Here is a 17570-nt window from a genome sequence, read left to right as displayed (position 1 = left end):
CAGTGCTTTATTTGCAGCTCAGGGTTTCAGACCTTTCTGGGTATCTTTTGTAAGCTCATTTGGGGCAAAACCTGACGTGGACTGCCACGAGACTATTCATAGTCTGTATTTTTCCCATCTAGTGTGATTATTTGTATGTTTGCTGCAGAAATATCAGTGCTGGATTCCTTGGTACACACCAGACCTCGCCAGGGATGTATGCACATATGTATGCACTGTATTACCTTTCTAAAATCTGAAAAATACTGAATTCTGAAACAGCTTTGTTCCAAGGGCTAATGAATCTGTGCTTCTCCTGAACTTGCTACAATTTGTAATCCCCAAATAATATAGTTTGATAATCATCTCAGTTTTTTTTCTTTAGAGAAAATTTGGAAAACACAGAAAGGCACATTTATGCAAAAAGCATTCACCTGTAATGCTGCTACCCAGGGATATCTGCTGTCAACATCCTGGCACATTTTTTTCCTAGTAAAATTGGGATTACATTTTATATACATCATATCATTTGGTATTCTGAATCTTTGATCCAACACAGTAGTATAATCATTTTCCAGACCACTAATCAGTCTTTGAAAACAGTAAAAATTTTATTTTATTTTTTTGAGACAGGGTCTTACTCTGTCACCCAGGCTGGAGTACAGTGGCGCGATCTTGGCTCACTGCAACCTCTGCCTCACAGGTTCAAGTGATTCTCCCACCTCAGCCTCCTTAGTAGCTGGGACTACAGACGTGTGCCACAGCCAGCTAATTTTTGTAATTTTTGTAGAGACGAGGTTTCACCATGTTGCCCAGGCTGCTCTGATACTCCTGGACTCAAGCGATCCACCCACCTCGGTCTCCCAAAGTGCTGGGATTATAGGCATGAGCCACCACACCTGGCCAACAGTCAAAATTTTAAAACCGGCTGGGCGCAGTGGCTCACGCCTATCATTCTAGCACTTTGGGAGGCCGAGGCAGGTGGATCACGAGGTCAAGAGATTGAGACCATCCTGGCCAACATGGTGAAACCCCATCTCTACTAAAAATACAAAAATTAGCTGGGCGTGGCGGCACATGCCTGTAGTCCCAGCTACTCAGGAGGCTGAGGGAGGAGAATTGCTTGAACCCTGGAGGCGGAGGTTGCAGTGAGCTGAGATCGCACCATTGCACGCCAGCCTGGGCAACAGAGCAAGACTCCATCTCAAAAAAAAAAATTTTAAACCATATCATTATTCATGCATTTTTTTTTACTTGTTAGCAATATATTTAAATACTAAAAAGGGCTTAACTTTTTTAAAATAAATTTTTTATTTTATTTAAAAATTTTATTTTAGAGACAGGGTGTTACTCTGTCGCCCAGGGTGGAGTATAGTGGCATAATCATAGCTCACTGCAGCCTCAAGCTCCTATGTTCAAGTGATCTTCTTGCCTCAGTCTCCCAAGTAGCAGGGATTACAGGCACAGTCCACCATGCCCAGCTTTGCTTAATGTTCTTCGCATGATTAAAGTGGGGTTGTGGGTTTGGAGGGGAGGAAGACCACAAAGATAGTGCCATTCTCATCACATCACATCAAGGGCATATACTGTCAACAGAACACTCTTGTTGTTGACCTTGATCACCTGGCTAAAGTGTTTGCCAGGTGTCTCACTGTTTTCTCCTTTTTGCGTAATATACTCAATGGAAGCAAGTCATTAAGTGTATCCCACACTGAAGGAGTAGGGAGTTATCTTCCACCTCCTTGATGGTGTAGTATCAACATAAATTATTTGGTATTCTTCTATTTGGGAGATTGTCTCTTCTCCCCATTTGTATATATCACTATGGACTTGTGAATATTAATTTTACATTTTGGGTTACAATCCCAATGGCACTTCGATTTTGGTGCTTATGTTTTTCCAGCTTTGGGCATTGGGAGCTCTTTCAGTTGGCTTCTGTGTCCCTTTGACATACCTTAATTATTTACATGTAAAAAAATGTTTAGCTCCATACTTCCTGGCACTACAATATGTTCTAAGTTCATCTAGTATATTTCTTGCCCCAGGGACTTAACTTCAAAAGAACCAAGGCTTTATTGAGATATAATTTATGGCTGGGCACGGTGGCTCAAGCCTGTAATCCCAGCACTTTGGGAGGCTGAGGCAGGCGGATCACGAGGTCAAGAGTTCAAGACCAGTCTGGCCAACATAGTGAAACCCCGTCTCTACTGAAAATACAAAAAAAAAATTAGCCGGGCATGGTGGTGTGTGCCTGTAATCCCAGCTACTCGGGAGGCTGAGGCAGGAGAATTGCGTGAACCCAGGAGGCAGAGGCTGCAGTGAGCCAAGATCGCGCCACTGCACTCCAGCCTGGGTGACAGAAAGAGACTCTGTCTCAAAAAAAAAAAAAAGAGAGAGAGAGATAATTTACAAACATTTCACCCGTTTAAAGTGTACAATTCAGCGTGTTTTTTTGTTTTGTTTTGTTTTTTCTTGAGATGGAGTCTCACTTTTTCGCCAGGCTGGAGTGCAGTGGCGTGATCTCAGCTCACCACAGCCTCAGCCTCCCGGGTTCAAGCAATTCTCCTGCCTCAGCCTCCTGAGTAGCTGGGATCACAGACTCCCGCCACCACACCCAGCTAATTCTTGTGTTTTTAGTAGAGACAGGGTCTCACCATGTTGGCCAGGATGGTCTCGATCTTGACCTCGTGATCTGCCCACCTTGGCCTCCCAGGGTAGCTTTTTAAAATATATACACAGATATGTTTAATAACCATCAAAGTCAATTTTTAGAATAATCACCTCAACAAGAAACCCTTGACTGGATACAGTGGCTCACACCTGTAATTTCAGCACTTTGGTAGGTATAGGCAGGAGTATCACTTGAGCCTAGGAGTTTGAGACCAGCCTGGGTAAAATAGTGAAACCTTGTTTCTACAAAAAATTTAAAAGTTAGCCAGGAATTGTGGCATGGCCCTGAGGTTCCAGCTACTTGGGAGGGTGAGGCAGGAGAATTGCTTGAGCCTAGGTCAAGGCTATAGTAACCTGTGACCACGCGACTGCACTCTATCCTGGCCAACAAAGCGAGACCCTGTGTCAAAAAAGAAAGAAAGAAACCAATCCTGTATCCTTTAGCTATTTACTCTCTCTCTCTCTCTCCCCTTCTTTTTCAGTGTAAAGTAACTACCAATCTAATTTCTATCTGTATAGATTTGCCTATCTGGACATTTTGTATAAATGGCATCACATGTGTGGCTTCTTTCACTTAGCATGTTTCAAGGTTCATCCATGTTGTAGCATTTATCAGTACTTCATTCCATTTTTATGGCTGAATAATATTCCATTGTGTGGATACACCACCTTTTGCTTGTCTATCAGTTGATGGAGCTTTGGTTTGTTTCCACCTTTTGATTATTATGAATAATGCTGCTACGAACATTTGTGTACAAGTTTCTATGTGGTCATGGTTTTCATTTGCCAGGTCATATGGTAATTCTGTGTTTAACCACTTGAACATAAATTGAAGTATTGATCTTTTAATTATGTTTTGTTAGAGACAGGGTCTCACTCTGTCATCCAGGCTGCAGTGCAGTGGTGTGATCACGGCTCGTTGCAGCCTTGAACTCCTGGGCTCAAGCAGTCCTCCTGCATTAGCCTCCCAAGTAGCTGGGATCACAGGCATGCACCACCATATCTGGCTAATTTTTAATTTTTTGTAGAGACAGGGACTTGCCATGTTGCCCACACTGGTCTCAAATTCCTGGGCTCAAGCAGTCCTCCCATCTCAGTCTCTCAAAGTGCTAGGATTACAGGCATGAGCCACCATGCCTGGCCTATTATTGAGTTTTTTTGTTTGTTTTGTTTTTGTTTTTGAGACACACTCTCACTCTGTTGCCCAGGCTGGAGTGCAGTGGTGCGATCTCAGCTCACCGCAACCTCTGCTTCCCAGGTTCAGGCGATTATCCTGCCTCAGCCTCGCGAGTAGCCGTGATTACAGGCACCCACCACCACGCCCAGCTAATTTTTGTATTTTTAGTAGAGATGAGGTTTCACCACGTTGGCCAGGCTGGTCTCAAACTCCTGACTTCAGGTGATCCTCCCACTTCAGCCTCACAAAGTGCTGAGATTACAGGCATGAGCCACCACACCCAGCTCCTGTGATTGAGTTTTAAAAGTTCTTTATACATTCTAGATACAGATTCCTTATCAAATACATGATATGCAAATATTTTTCTCTCATTCTGTGAGTTGTCTTTTCATTTTCTTTCTAGTGTCCTTTGAAGCACAAAGTTGTTAAATTTTGGTCAAGTCCAATTTATCTATTTTTTTCTTTTGTTGTTTATGCCTGTCATGTCATATATGTAAGAATCCATTGCCAGATTTTCAGGGTTTACCCTGAAGATTTATCCCTATGTTTCTTTGTAGAGTTTTATTGTTCTAGCTCTTACATTTAAGTGTTTGAGCCATTGTATATTGTGAAGTGTAAGGATCCAGCTTTATTCATTTGCACATGGCTGTCTAGTTGTACCAGCATCATTTGTTGAAGGGAAAGGATAGTCTTTTCCTTTCCCCACTGAGTGGTGTTGGCACCCTTGTCAAAAATCAGTTGACCATAGATGGGTTTATTTCTAGATTTTCATTTCTGTCCCATCAATCTATATCTTTTTTCTTTGTGCCAGCACCACCCTTTTGATTATTTACCTTGCAATAAGTTTTGGAATTTGAGATGATATGGGCTTAACTTTTAAATGACTTCCCAAGTAACTAAGGGCTTATACAGGATTTGCTTTTTTAGTTTAGTTATTATTTTTATTTAAAATCATATTCTAAGTTTTCTGAAGTTACACTAGCATTTTAAAAAATTAATTATTTTATTTTTTTGAGACCGAGTCTTGCTCTGTCGCCCGGGCTGGAGTGCAGTGGTGCGATCTCAGCTCACTGCAACCTCCGCCTCCCGGGTTCAAGCAATTCTGTCTCCGCCTCCCAAGTAGCTGGAATTACAGGCATGAACCACCACGGCCTGGCTAATTTTTGTATTTTTAGTAGAGATGGGGTTTCACGATGTTGGCCAGGCTGGTCTTGAACTCCTCACCTCAGGTGATCCACCCCGCCTCAGCCTCCCAAAGTGCTGGGATTACAGGTGTGAGTCACCACTCCTGGCCGTACTAGCTAGTTTTATAGTGAAAGATTTTATTTTAATGCTGTATTTTTTTTTACCAGCATCTCTCCAATCTCCCATGAAAGATTTTTAAAATCAACAAAAACAAGCCTTCTGCTGTACAACACTTACTGAAAACATCACTTTCGTTACTCTATCCAGTACTTTTAAATTGATATATAGTCCTAAATTTAATTTCCTGGGCACTGCCCCAGAGTCTGTGAGACAAGTGCCATTTGTTCTCTCCCCTTCATAGTCAGGCTCTCTCGGGAATGGTTCGTGCTGCTTGCTCTGCTTTCTGTGCCCACCTCTTCTGCCCACGAGAGCCAGACTTTAGCCCCCTACCCCCACTCTTGCACTCTGAACTGATGGTGTGCACACTCTATGTACAGTCTTTCTTGATTTTGATCTTTCTGGACTGGTTGCTTTTTCCTGAAGGCCTTCCTCACCAAAGATTCTTTTTCCCCTTTTTTTGCCATTCTCCCTGGAAAATCAAAAGATTTTGATTTTTTCTGGAGCACTTGATGTTATAAGCCATTTCCTTTTTAAAAAGTTACATCTACTACTTTGCTGAGACACCTCTGGTTTTCCCAAGTCTTTGACTCTTTGTTCTTAGTTCTTGGGCCCTCTGTGTCCCATACACACTCTCTGGATGATCTCATCCAAATTCCTAGGGGCTGATCACTCTTCTGTCCTAAAAATAAAACAAAGCCAAAACTTCTGCTTCCCTTTGAAGCACTACCATCCTTCTTTCCTCCAGAGCCCTGCCCACTGTTTTACTTTCTCCCTCCCACTTCAGGCTAAAGCTCACTTTGCTCTGCCAGACCTGTTCTCAGCAAGGATTCTTTTGTTTTTTTAAACCTACGTAATGATTATCCCATACTATTGTGTCCTATTTTTTCCTTTTTCTATGTATCTGACTCCAACATGTAACATCAACATAATGTTAAATTTTATTAAAAACAGGTTATTTATATAACTGTTGCCCCCATTTGTTGGGCATTTATATTGCTTCATTTTTTCAGTTTTTAAAAATTTTTAAATTTTTTATTTTATTTTCAAGAGACAGGGTCTCACTATGTTGCCAAGGCTGGTCTCGAACTCCTGGACTCAAGCGATCCTCCCACCTTGGCCTCCCAGAGTGCTGGGATTGCAGGCGTGAGCTACCACACCTGGCCCTCATTTTAGTTTTAATTTATTTTTAACTTTTTAGAGACAGCCTCACTTTGTTGCCCAGGCTAGAGTGCAATGGCATGATCATGGCTCACTGCAGCCTCGATCTCCTGGGCTCAGGTGATTCTACCACCTCAGCCCCCCAAGTGGCTGGGACCACAGGCGCACACCATCACCCCAGATAATTTTTTTTTTTGAGACGGAGTCTCGCTCTGTCGTCCAGGCAGGAGTGCAGTGGCGCGATCTCGGCGCACTGCAACCTCTTGCCTCCTGGATTCAAGCGATTCTCCTGCCTCAGCCTCCTGAGTAGCTGGGATTACGGACGCGTGCCACCACACCCGGCTACAGATAATTTTTTTGTATTTTTTGTAGACACTGGGTTTCTCCATATTGCCCAGGGCTGATCTCGAACTTCTGGGCTCAAGGGATCCACAGCGTCAGCTTCCCAAAGTGCTGGGATTACAGGCATGAGCCACCACGTCCACCCCTACATTTTTTTTCTCCCCCCAGATGTATACTTTTAAGTTCTGTTTTTGTTTTTGTTTGTTTGTTTGTTTGAGTCTCACTCTGTCGCCCAGGCTGGAGTGTGGTGGCACAATCTTGGCTCACTGCAACCTCCGCCTCCTGGGTTCAAGTGATTATCCTGCCTCAGCCTCCCAGGTAGCTGGGACTACAGGCATGTACCACCACACCTGGCTAATTTTTGTATTTTTAGTAGAGACTGGGTTTTTCTGTGTTGGCCAGCCTGGTCTCGAACTCCTGACCTCAAGTGATCTGCCTGCCTCAGCCTCCCAAAGTGCTGGGATTACAGGTACAAATTGCTACACCCGGCCTGTATACTTTTAAATTCTTTAGTGTAGGGCCTCTGTCTTGAGTGCTTATCAGCTTTTCGCTGGTGAAGTGGGTTGGCCAGGATAAAAAGTATCATCAAGATGCCATTTCTCTCTTCTTCCCCATCCCAACTCCCAGAGCTGATCTGTCTCCCTGCTCCAGGCTTTCATGCCCTGTTTTGATTACTGTCAGCTTTCCAGAGTGAAGGGATCTCTCTTTTAAGTGTTAGCTCCTGAAATAATGATCTGAGAAAAGGGATTTTTGTTTGAAGGGACCATGCTTTTTTTTTTTTTTTTTTTGGACATAATTTACCTACCAGAGAAAAGAAAAACTTCACCTTTAAAAAGAATATAATTTAGTTGTTTTCAGTATATATTCACAAAGTTTTGGAACCACCACCACTGTCTAATCCCAGAACATTTTATTACCTCAAAAAGCAACCCCATTCCCATGAGCAGTCACTCTCCATTTCTTCCCTCCCCCAGCGTGTAGCAGCCAGCCTCTGTGTCCTTTAACAATGTAGAACCAGCCCTACTTGACTCTGAGTGTGCAGGTATTCTTTTGCACTCTTGTTTGCTTACATTTCTGCATGCATTTTACTATTTTGTATCAGGATTTATTTATTTATGTATTACTGTTTGGCATTGATTTCATAACATCAATTTCGAGAGTAATCATTGTTGATTTTTATTTTTTTGGCTGGGTCCGGGTATGTGTCTTCTCATTCTCTTCCTGCATCCTAGATCTTTCTTTTTACTTCTTCCTGCTATTTATTTCTTTAGTTAGTTTTAGAGACAGGGTCTCTGTTGCACAGGCTAGACTGCAGTGATCATAGCTGGGTGATTCTGGGTCCCTTCCTCCCTCAGTTCAGCCTCTCGAGTAGCTGGGACTACAGGCAGGAGCCATCACACCCAGCTAATTTTTAAAATGTTTCGTGTTGATGGAGACTGCTTTCTGTGTTGCCCAGGCTGGTCTGAAACTGGTAGGGGCAAGCCATCCATCTGCGTCAGCTTCCCCAAATGCTGGGATTACAGGTGCGAGCCATCATGCCTGACTTCTTGTGGGTTTTTGATTCTGTGAAGCCATCTCCTTTTCTCTTGAGCCTTGATGGTTTGTACTTAACACTCTCAGCTCCTTCCTGGGCTGCCCTTTAAAATTTGCTTGCTGTGTTCCTTGCAGTTGAGTCTTATCTTTGTTCTTTGTTTATAATGTGTTTATTTTCTTGGGTTTTGAAGGCAGCATTCTGTACCATTTCTCAGCTTAGCTCTTCCCAGAGTTCTGTTGTGTAGGATTTTCTGGGCACATTCTTGTATAATGGAAAGAACATAGAATTCAGAAGAATGAATAAGGGTTAATCCTAGCTCTGTTTTTGGGTGACTGGCTAAGTCACCTCGACTCTATGGTAGGACTTTTAACTATTTTAAAGTCCTATGTAGTTATCATGTTCTAAAAATTAGCATGCAGATAGATAGATAGATAGATAGATAGATAGATAGATAGATAGAGTTTTTTGTTTTTTGTTTTTGTTGTTGTTTTGTTTTGAGACAGAGTCTCGCTCTGTCGCCCAGGCTGGAGTGCAGTAGCGCGATCTTGGCTCACTGCAGCCTCTGCCTCCCTGGTTCAAGTGATTCTCCTGCCTCAGCCTCCCAAGTAACTGGGATTAAAGGCATGCAGCACCATGCCTGGCTAATTTTGTATTTTTAGTAGAGGTGGGGTTTTGCCATGTTGGTCAGGCGGGTCTCGAACTCCTGACCTCAGGTGATCCACCCGCCTCGGCCTCCCAAAGTGCTGGGATTACAGGTGTGAGCCACCGCACCCAGCTTCATAATTTTTATGCCTAATGAAATATAAGGAAAACTGGGCAGGCCTGGTGGCTCACGCCTGTAATCCCAGCATTTTGGGAGGCCAAAGCAGGTGGATCACCTGAGGACAGGGGTTCGAGACCAGCCTGACCACTCTGTCGCTACTGAAAAATATAAAAATTAGCTGAGTGTGGTGGCGGGCACCTGTAATCCCAGCTACTCAGGAGGCTGAGGGGGGAAAATCACTTGAACCCGGGAGGCAGAGGTTGCAGTTAGCCAAGATTGCACCACTGCACTCTAGCCAAGGCGAGATTCTGTCTCCAAAAAAAAAAAGGAAAAGAAATATAAGGAAAACTAATGCAGAGTTTACAGTTATCAACAAAAAGAATAAGAATGATAATGATTATTAAATTTAATTATTTAAGGGCCAGGTGCGGTGGCTCACACCTGTAATCCCAGCACTTTGGGTGGCCAAGGCAGGCAGATCACTTGAGGCGAGGAGTTCCAGACCAGCCTGCCCAACATGGTGAAACCCTGTCTCTACTAAAAATACAAAAAAATTGCGGGGTGCCTGTAATCCCAGCTACTTGGGTGGCTGAGACAGGAGAATTGCTTGAACCTGGGAGGCGGAGGTTGCAGTGACCCGAGGTTGCGCCACTGCATTCCAGCCTGGGTGACAGAGCAGGACTCCATCTCAAAAAAAAAGGTAATTATTTAAAATTATATTAAAATAATGAAAAAAGTGAGATTGGAGATGAAAGTGATAAAAATCTAGATGGCAGTGACACTGTTTGTATTGAATTTATGAAACAAGTTCACGTACCTGTTCATCCAAGTAACCTTATATGTGAGATAAGTATTCTTTACATTTTACAGAGGAAGATACTGAGGTTCAGTGAGGTTAAGATAATTGCCCGAGGTTACAAGCACAGAGCTGTGATACAATACAAGAACTTGAATTCAGGTTTCAGGACTTCCAAGACCAAGGCTTTGTATCTTGACCCAAAATAAAAGTTGAATAGTTTGAAGGTTATTTCTTCAAATATACTCTATCACTTAAGTAGGTTTTCGGGAGTGAGCGAAGACGGCACAAGTTTGAACATTCGTCCTGGAGATCATCTGTTACTCTGAATGTATCGTGGGTTAGTGTTGTGGGCATGGCTGCTATCTGGGGGCAGGTTGAAAAGCTGCCACATTGCCACTGTCATCCTACGGAATACTAGTTAAGCAGAATTATGAGTTCTTGTGAAATTACTCAAATTTTTTATTTCTCAAGTTACAGTGGAAATCTTATTTCTGAAATTTCTTTTCTTTTCTTCCCATATTGTCTCCTCATTTGCACTCTTGAGCAGTAAATACATCTGTTCCAAACACAAGCAAAGACCTAGACAGAGAAATAACTGCCAGAGTCAGTGGCAGTGTTGCAGCTTTTCAACCTGCCCCCAGATAACAGCCACGCCCACAACACTCACCCACTGCATATTCAGAGTAACAGATGATCTGCAGGACGACTGCTGAAACTCCTGCTGCCTTCACTCACTCCAGAAAACCTACTGAAGACCTGAGGAATGGAGGACTAGATTGAAGAATTGGGAAGTCACTGAGAACCAAGGCAGTGCCTCTGTCATTCTCTGTGGAGCAGCAGGCCTTGTTTCTGCAGTCCAGATCTGTCTACTACTTGGCTCCTCTCTGCAGAATGAAGTCTGGGTGCATGTGGCCCATCCCAGCATTCCCAGTTATGCAACCAGATACTCTTCTGCCAGCCAGCCTGGCCCCTTGGAGTCTCTGTGCTCCAGCTCCAGGCTGTCTGAGAAGAGGAGCTAGTTGGCCCAGCTCTACCTTAGAATGGATTCTTGTCTGGGCTGGGTAGTACCTCATCAGCTGTGGCCAGGAGCAATACTCTCAACAGCACAGACAAAAGGGGACAGATCCCTATTGGGTAAAGGTGATGTGGGCTGGGGTAAGTACCCTGAGAGGTGTCTGTCACAGAAAACTGCCTGAGAGAACTTTGTCAAAGTTCTGGGCTCCACTCTCCAGGGGTTTTGTTCAGTCAATAGGTATAAAATAGAAACTAAGTGTCCACTTGTTTAAAAAGCTCCCTGGATGAGTCTGATGCCTCTTCAGATTTAGAAATCACTTTACTCTAATACGTGTAAATAAATTAATATGTATTTGTGTTTGCATGAGGAAATAATGGAAAGATAAGCAACTAATAAAAATGGGTAATGGGTGGAGATTGATGAGGCTGTTGAGGATGAGGGAGCAGGTTCTTTCACACACACACACACACACACACACACACACACATTTTAACCAACTTAAAAATTTAAAGAAACACTTCAGCTTAACAATTAGAAATCAGATTCAAAACAATGATTTTAAAATTGAAGATACTGAGGTCCAGAAGGTGCACTGTATCTGGGACCAGGTTTCTCATCTGTGAAGTAATTCCAGTTTTTGGTATCAGTCACTTAAATGTAATTTATTTTTTCTCATCAGCATAATCCCATAGAAGTTCATACTGGTAGGCAGGAGAAGAAGGGAATAGATCCCAAAGGGAATTGGAAGAATTTGGGTTCTATTGCTTTGTCTTTGTTCTGTAGAGAAGGTACTTCCACAGTAGACCCAAAACCATGAGATATGGGCCCAGGACAAAGTGAGCTGAGAAGAAAAGGGTTGGTGCAGTGACTCTCCATCTTAGTTGAACTTTAGAATCACCTGGGGTCCTTTACAAAATAAAATCCCAATTCATACACACATATACACACAGTCTAGGACAGTTATTCTTAGGGTTTTTTTTGTTGTTTCGAGACAGGGTCTTCCTCAAACTCCTGGGCTAAAGCAGTCCTCCTGCCTTAGCCTCCCAAATAGCTGGGATTACAGGTGTGAGCCACTGCATTTGGCTCGTCTGATTTTTTTGTTTTTGTTTGTTTGTTTGTTTGCTTGAGATGGAGTTTTGCCCCTGTTGCCCATGCTGGAGTGCAGTGGCGCAATCTTGGCTCACTGCAACCTCTGTCTCCCAGGTTCAAGCGATTCTCCTGCCTCAGCCTCCCAAATAACTGGGATTACAGGCGCTTGCCATCGTGCCCAGCTAGTTTTTTGTATTTTTAATAGAGATGGGGTTTCATCATGTTGGCCAGGCTGGTCTCCTGACCTCAGGTGATCCATCCGCCTCAGCCTCCCAAAGCACTGGGATTACAGGCGTGAGCCGCTGCACCTGGACTTGTCTGAGTTTTTTCATGATTAGAATGAGATTATGCATTTTTAAGTGTGTTGTGCTCTTCTCAGCACATCATATCTGAGAATTCATGATGTTGCTGTGTCTTAGATGTTAATCATTTGGTTAAGGTGGTGGTATCTGCCTGTTTATCCTTTTACGACTATTATCGTAGACATCTTAGGGGATGTACTCTGAGACTGTGATCAATTTTACTCACTGATTTTAGCATCCATCCATGGGTCTTGTCTGAAACTTATTATTGTGGTTTTTGCCTAATTCTGATTTTTTTCCCCAATTTCCTTCATTCCTTCTGTATTAATTGGAGTGCATCTGTAAGGAAGAACTATCCTCCCTCTCATTTATTCACTTATTTATATAGGTGTGGATGCATGGATATGTGTTTTATTCTATGGATTTAGTCTAATACTGTGATTTATTTTGTTGCTCAGATTGTTACAATTTCAACTTTAGTTTGCTCTTTCAGGTTGGCCTCTAGGCCCTTTCAATATGCTTTTGTATTTTTTTTTTTTTTTTTTGAAATGGAGTTTCGCTCTTGTTGCCCAGGCTGGAGTGCAATGGTGCAATCTTGGCTCACTGGAACCTCCACCTCCCGGGTTCAAGTGATTCTTGAACCTCAGCCTCCTGAGTAGCTAGGATTACAGATGCCCGCCACCACGCCTGGCTAATTTTTTTATTTAGTAAAGGAATTTATTTAGTAAAAGAGGAGTTTCACCATGTTGGCCAGGCTGTTCTCAAACTCCTGACCTCAAATGATCCACCCACCTCGGCCTCCCAAAGTGGGATTACAGCCTGGCTGTCAATATGCTTTTAAGTGTGCTCATTGCTACTGGGTGTCACTGCTTCTAAGTCTTCTCAGCAGACAGAACTAGGAAAATAGGCTTATGTATACTCAGCTACATATTACACATGTATCTATGTTTATTTCTGTGTATGTCTGTGTATATGTTAGAAATTATGAGTTCATACTGATATCTCATTCTAATCCAACACTGTGTGGTTTATTTTAGCCTTCCCTCTTATTTGTAATTATTTTGCCAACCTGGCTGTCATTATCCTTCATTTTTTTAAACTTACTTTTTCAGTCAGTACCACTGTCTACATGAATTAGTGTCAGAATTGCTAACTCACATCTTTGTGAGAAACAAATTTACTTACTAGGTAGCAGCATTTGTGTTACAGTTCTTTATGCCTTTAGCTTTACAATATCCAGTCAAAATAGGTTTTCAAAGTTTCTTCCTCATGCCCTTCAGTGTGGTTATGTTATTCCTTTGTAACGCAGTTAGATTCACTTGTTACTGTTTGTATTCTGGGTTCTTTAATTTTTTTGGTATGCGCTACATTACTCTGGTTTTGAGTCATCTATACACAAAGATATACTCAGAGAAATATCACTCCTTCCTTATCCCTACCATCCATTCCCATTTCGTTTTATCCCTTTCCCACCTATCCCCTGTAGGTAGCTGATCTCTTTAGTTTCTGGTTTATCCTTCCTGTATTTCTTTTGTACAAATAAGCAGATATATGTATATGTTCTTATTGCCCATTTCTTATATGAAGGATAGCATAGTCTAAATCTTGTACTTTGGTTTTTTCACTTAACAATATATCTTGGAATTCATTCTGTGTCTGTTCTTAGACATCTTAGAATGATTTTCATTCATTTTTACTGCTGCATAGTACTCCATGTGGATATAACATAGTGTCTTCAGTCTCCTCCAATGTGTGGGCATTTAGATTGTTTCCAGTATTTTGCAATTACAAATAGTGCTACTGTGGATAATCTTGTACATATGTTTTTTCATATCATTGGAGGTGTACCTTCAGAGTAGATTCTTAGAAGTAGGATTGCTGGGTTAAAAGATGTACACATATATAATTTTGTTAGGTATTGCCCAGTTCCCCTCCAGAAGAGTTGTACAGTTTGCATTCCCACCAGCCATATATGAAAACTACCTGCATATGTTTTAAAACACATACAGATGAATGATTATCAGTTTTGTTTAGGGTCTTCCTTTCCTTCTGCAATTCCTCTTCTATCATGACAGGTTGCAAAAGAAACTAACTGCAACTTTTTCATGAAAAGAAGTAAAATTAGTTTTCCAGAGCTGACTGAAGATTTTCTTACTGGCATTTTAAAGTTATAATTATGTATTACATTTTTCCACTTTACCTAGTTTAGCATCTGTTATGTAACATCTCACCACCTGCTTAGTTGTGCAGGCAGTTCTTTTCAGTTTAGATAATAATACTGGATACTGCAAGTTTAAACATTTTCCCCATCTTAGTCATTTTCCAGATTTCTGAGACAGGTGTTTAATATTTCCAAAAGTGAGGCAGTTCAGAAAATATTTGCATTTCTTCACTCTTACATTTCAGTGACGGAGGTGGTCATCTGAGCCTCTCTTCCTTTGACTTGACTCGTTGGGGTACAGCTTACAAAAGCATGCCAGGGTCACCATGACAAAGTAGATCATCCTCTTTTCTAGACCATGGCTCCCTATCCTGCCCTCTCTCCCTGACGACCCCTGGCTTGAGACCCTCACCTTTGTGTTTTCCCGGTGTGCTGGTCCTCTCTGGCCTCGCTCTGGATTCTGTCTGCTGACCTCCCCACTCTGACCAGATTCTCAGTTCTCCTGATCTCTCCACTCCCACTCTATAGGAACCCTACTGTTTATTTTGTCTGATCTTGCTCAGACTGCTGATACATACTGGAGAAAGTCACTTAATTGTCATGATTGGCAGCACTAAACATCTCTGGATTCTTTCTGCTGAGTCTTCAATGTTTTCTTTTAACTTGTCCCCGTTCGGGTCCCTTTCTCACCTTCCCTGTGCCTGGTTTGCCTTCACATCTTCTGCCTTCCAGCCTGCTCTCCCATACTCCCACACCTCATTTACAGCACATACTCACCTTATTTCAGGAAAGACAGGTTTTGACTTATCCTGAGGAAATAGATCTAAATAGCCAGAACCTTCCAAATGGATAGGCTACTTTGGGAAGCAGTACATTTTCTATATCATGATCATTATGATTATTTTTCTTGTCCTTACTGCCTGCCTTCTTCAGCTTCTTTTCAGTTGACCTGTCTGAATCTGGCTCAATGATGAACCTGAACTTGGTTGATCACCACAAGAGCCTGTGGCCAAGGACTGTTGGCCTATATAAAGTGTCATGGTTCAGAACATGGGTTTTGGGGGTCAGCACACCTGGATTTGAATCTCAGTTCTGTTAACTACTAGGTATGTAATCATGGACACGTTAGTTGACCCTCCACTCTGCCTCAGTTTCTTCATCTATAAAGTAGGGGTTATGTTTCATAGGGTTGTGGTGAAGATAATATATAAGGATTTTTCTTAAGTTCTTAGCACTGTGCTAGTGACTATGATCATTATGATTAAATGTAGTCCTTCCTTATTTTCTCACTCTACCTCAGGGGTCACTTAATGCTCTTGGTTTGTGTTGATACTACTTCTAGCTGTTGTCATAACTCACTGCCAGCTAGCCTCACCCAGACCATTGTAAAGTTCTTTTCCAGTGAAAGTGGGAGGAAATAAATGAGGAGAAAGGAAATGTAGGGAAATGATCAAGAAGTGGATACTCCATCTATTTCATCAGGGTCTCCCTTTCTTTCTCATGGCAAGTTCAGAACACTTCTAAGCAGTAACTGCTTTGCATTAGATAGTATCTGTTACCAAGTCTCACTTTGGGCTACCCTAGCATGCTTTAAGTAAAACAGAGCTGCTTGGTTATGGATTTTTAAGATGATGGATAGTCGCAGTACTAAATCCTGGTAGTATATCTTAGATCAAGTAAAATAGACATTTTTCCCATTCATGAAGAGAGAAATGTTTTTCATACTTTAATAATTTGGGTACCACAGTTCACCAAAAATTTGTGGAAACTTTTCTGAATATAAGTCACTACAAGTCTTCATCTATGTCAGTGTCTGCGCATACACCTGTATAACTGAGTGTGTCTCTTTATCCATATTTTTTATTTTGTGCTGCTTATGTTTGGATGTAGCCTGAACATGAAATAATGGAATCTTCTTTTTGTAACTTGGCCAGCATTATCAAAGCATATATGTAGGGCATAGCTGAGTTAGGACTAAAACTCAGACCTCCTGATTTGAAGCCCAGTGTTCTTTTCTGATGTTACTTCCTTTTTAGGGTATCACATGATAAATGTAATGAATAATAATAAGTAAAATAATTTTTTTTTTTTTTGAGACGGAGTCTCGCTCTGTCGCCCAGGCTGGAGTTCAGTAGCGTAATCTCAGCTCACTGCAACCTCCACCTCCCGGGTTCATGCCATTCTCCTGCCTCAGCCTCCCAAATAGCTGGGACCACAGGCGCCTGCCACCATGCCCAGCTAATTTTTTGTATTTTTAGTAGAGACGGGGCTTCACCGTGTCAGCCAGGATGGTCTCGATCTCCTGACCTCGTGATCCTCCTGCCTCGGCCTCCTAAAGTGCTGGTATTACAGGCGTGAGCCACCGCGCCCGGCCAAGTAAAATAATTTTTAAAAGACCATACAACTTTTTTTTGAAGGCCTACTATCTTTTAGGCTGCATCTGCTTTTTCTAATCTTCACAATCCCCGGGCTTTCCTCATTTTCTAGCCAAGCAAGTGATTACTCAGAGATACTAAGTAATTCAGCCAGTGTCTCTCAGCTAGTGAGGGATAGGACCAGAATTGAAACCTTTTCTGGGTCTTTTAGTCTGTTTTATTACTGAAGAAATTGACAAATGCATATGTAACCAACAAAACTTGTTCAAGCTCTGGGCTCTCCAGAGCACCTTTTCTAGAGAAGTTGCATACTTGTTAATGACTAGATTTTAAGCCATGGTACCTATAGTACATTGGAACATTGGCTCTTAAAATAATAAAAAATTATGAATAAATGCTAAGCATTTGCTATTACTGGTTTTATTGCTTAAATAACCTTAGGCTAGCTTTTAATAGTTCACTTAATGGTTTGCAGCATCTGAAAAAAAAAAACCTTTGCACTGTTTTTCTTGGTTAGTGAATTGTCAGAGAACCAAGCTAAAGTAAGGAATACATTTTCTTTTAAAGCAATCATTAGTATTATCTACCTATTTATTTTTGGAACATGAGTTTGGCTCAGTCTAACTTACTTAGCATCTGAAGACAAGATAATTTTTATCTGTGAAACAGAGTGCTGTAGTTTCGTGTTCAGATAATTAAAGTTCACCAAAATGGGTGGCTTAGAGAACAGCTTAATAGCTTTCCCTAAAAATAACCCATTCACAGTTGTTAGGTAGCATTTTAGTTGCTACAGTATATGGTGCTTGTGCATGATAATAACGTTTGTCTAAATAAGGTGGATATATTATCCACAAATATTGAGCCTCTGCTATGAGACATGACTATAATGACAGGGGATGAA

The 17570-nt window shown here is 41.8% G+C and overlaps 1 protein-coding gene across 2 annotated transcripts in view, besides 1 other annotated feature; it reads left to right on the top strand.

The window, feature by feature from the left end:
- The window catches only part of MAPK1 (mitogen-activated protein kinase 1), a 108024-nt gene that overhangs the window by 24485 nt on the left and 65969 nt on the right, over positions 1 to 17570 (top strand). The window lies entirely within an intron of this gene.
- Positions 4929 to 5136: a silencer, noted in NCBI's record as "fragment chr22:22192349-22192556 (GRCh37/hg19 assembly coordinates)". NCBI's record gives its function as "represses an EF-1alpha promoter that drives an FKBP-Casp9 reporter gene in an ReSE screen in HepG2 liver carcinoma cells {active_cell/tissue: HepG2}" and the evidence as "EXISTENCE:reporter gene assay evidence [ECO:0000049][PMID:32094911]".

This window comes from Homo sapiens, chromosome 22, assembly GCF_000001405.40.
Source record: "Homo sapiens chromosome 22, GRCh38.p14 Primary Assembly".
NCBI lineage: Eukaryota > Metazoa > Chordata > Mammalia > Primates > Hominidae > Homo > Homo sapiens.
The sequence above is the reverse complement of the archived record's forward strand: the minus strand, read 5'-3'. Positions and strand labels throughout refer to the sequence as shown.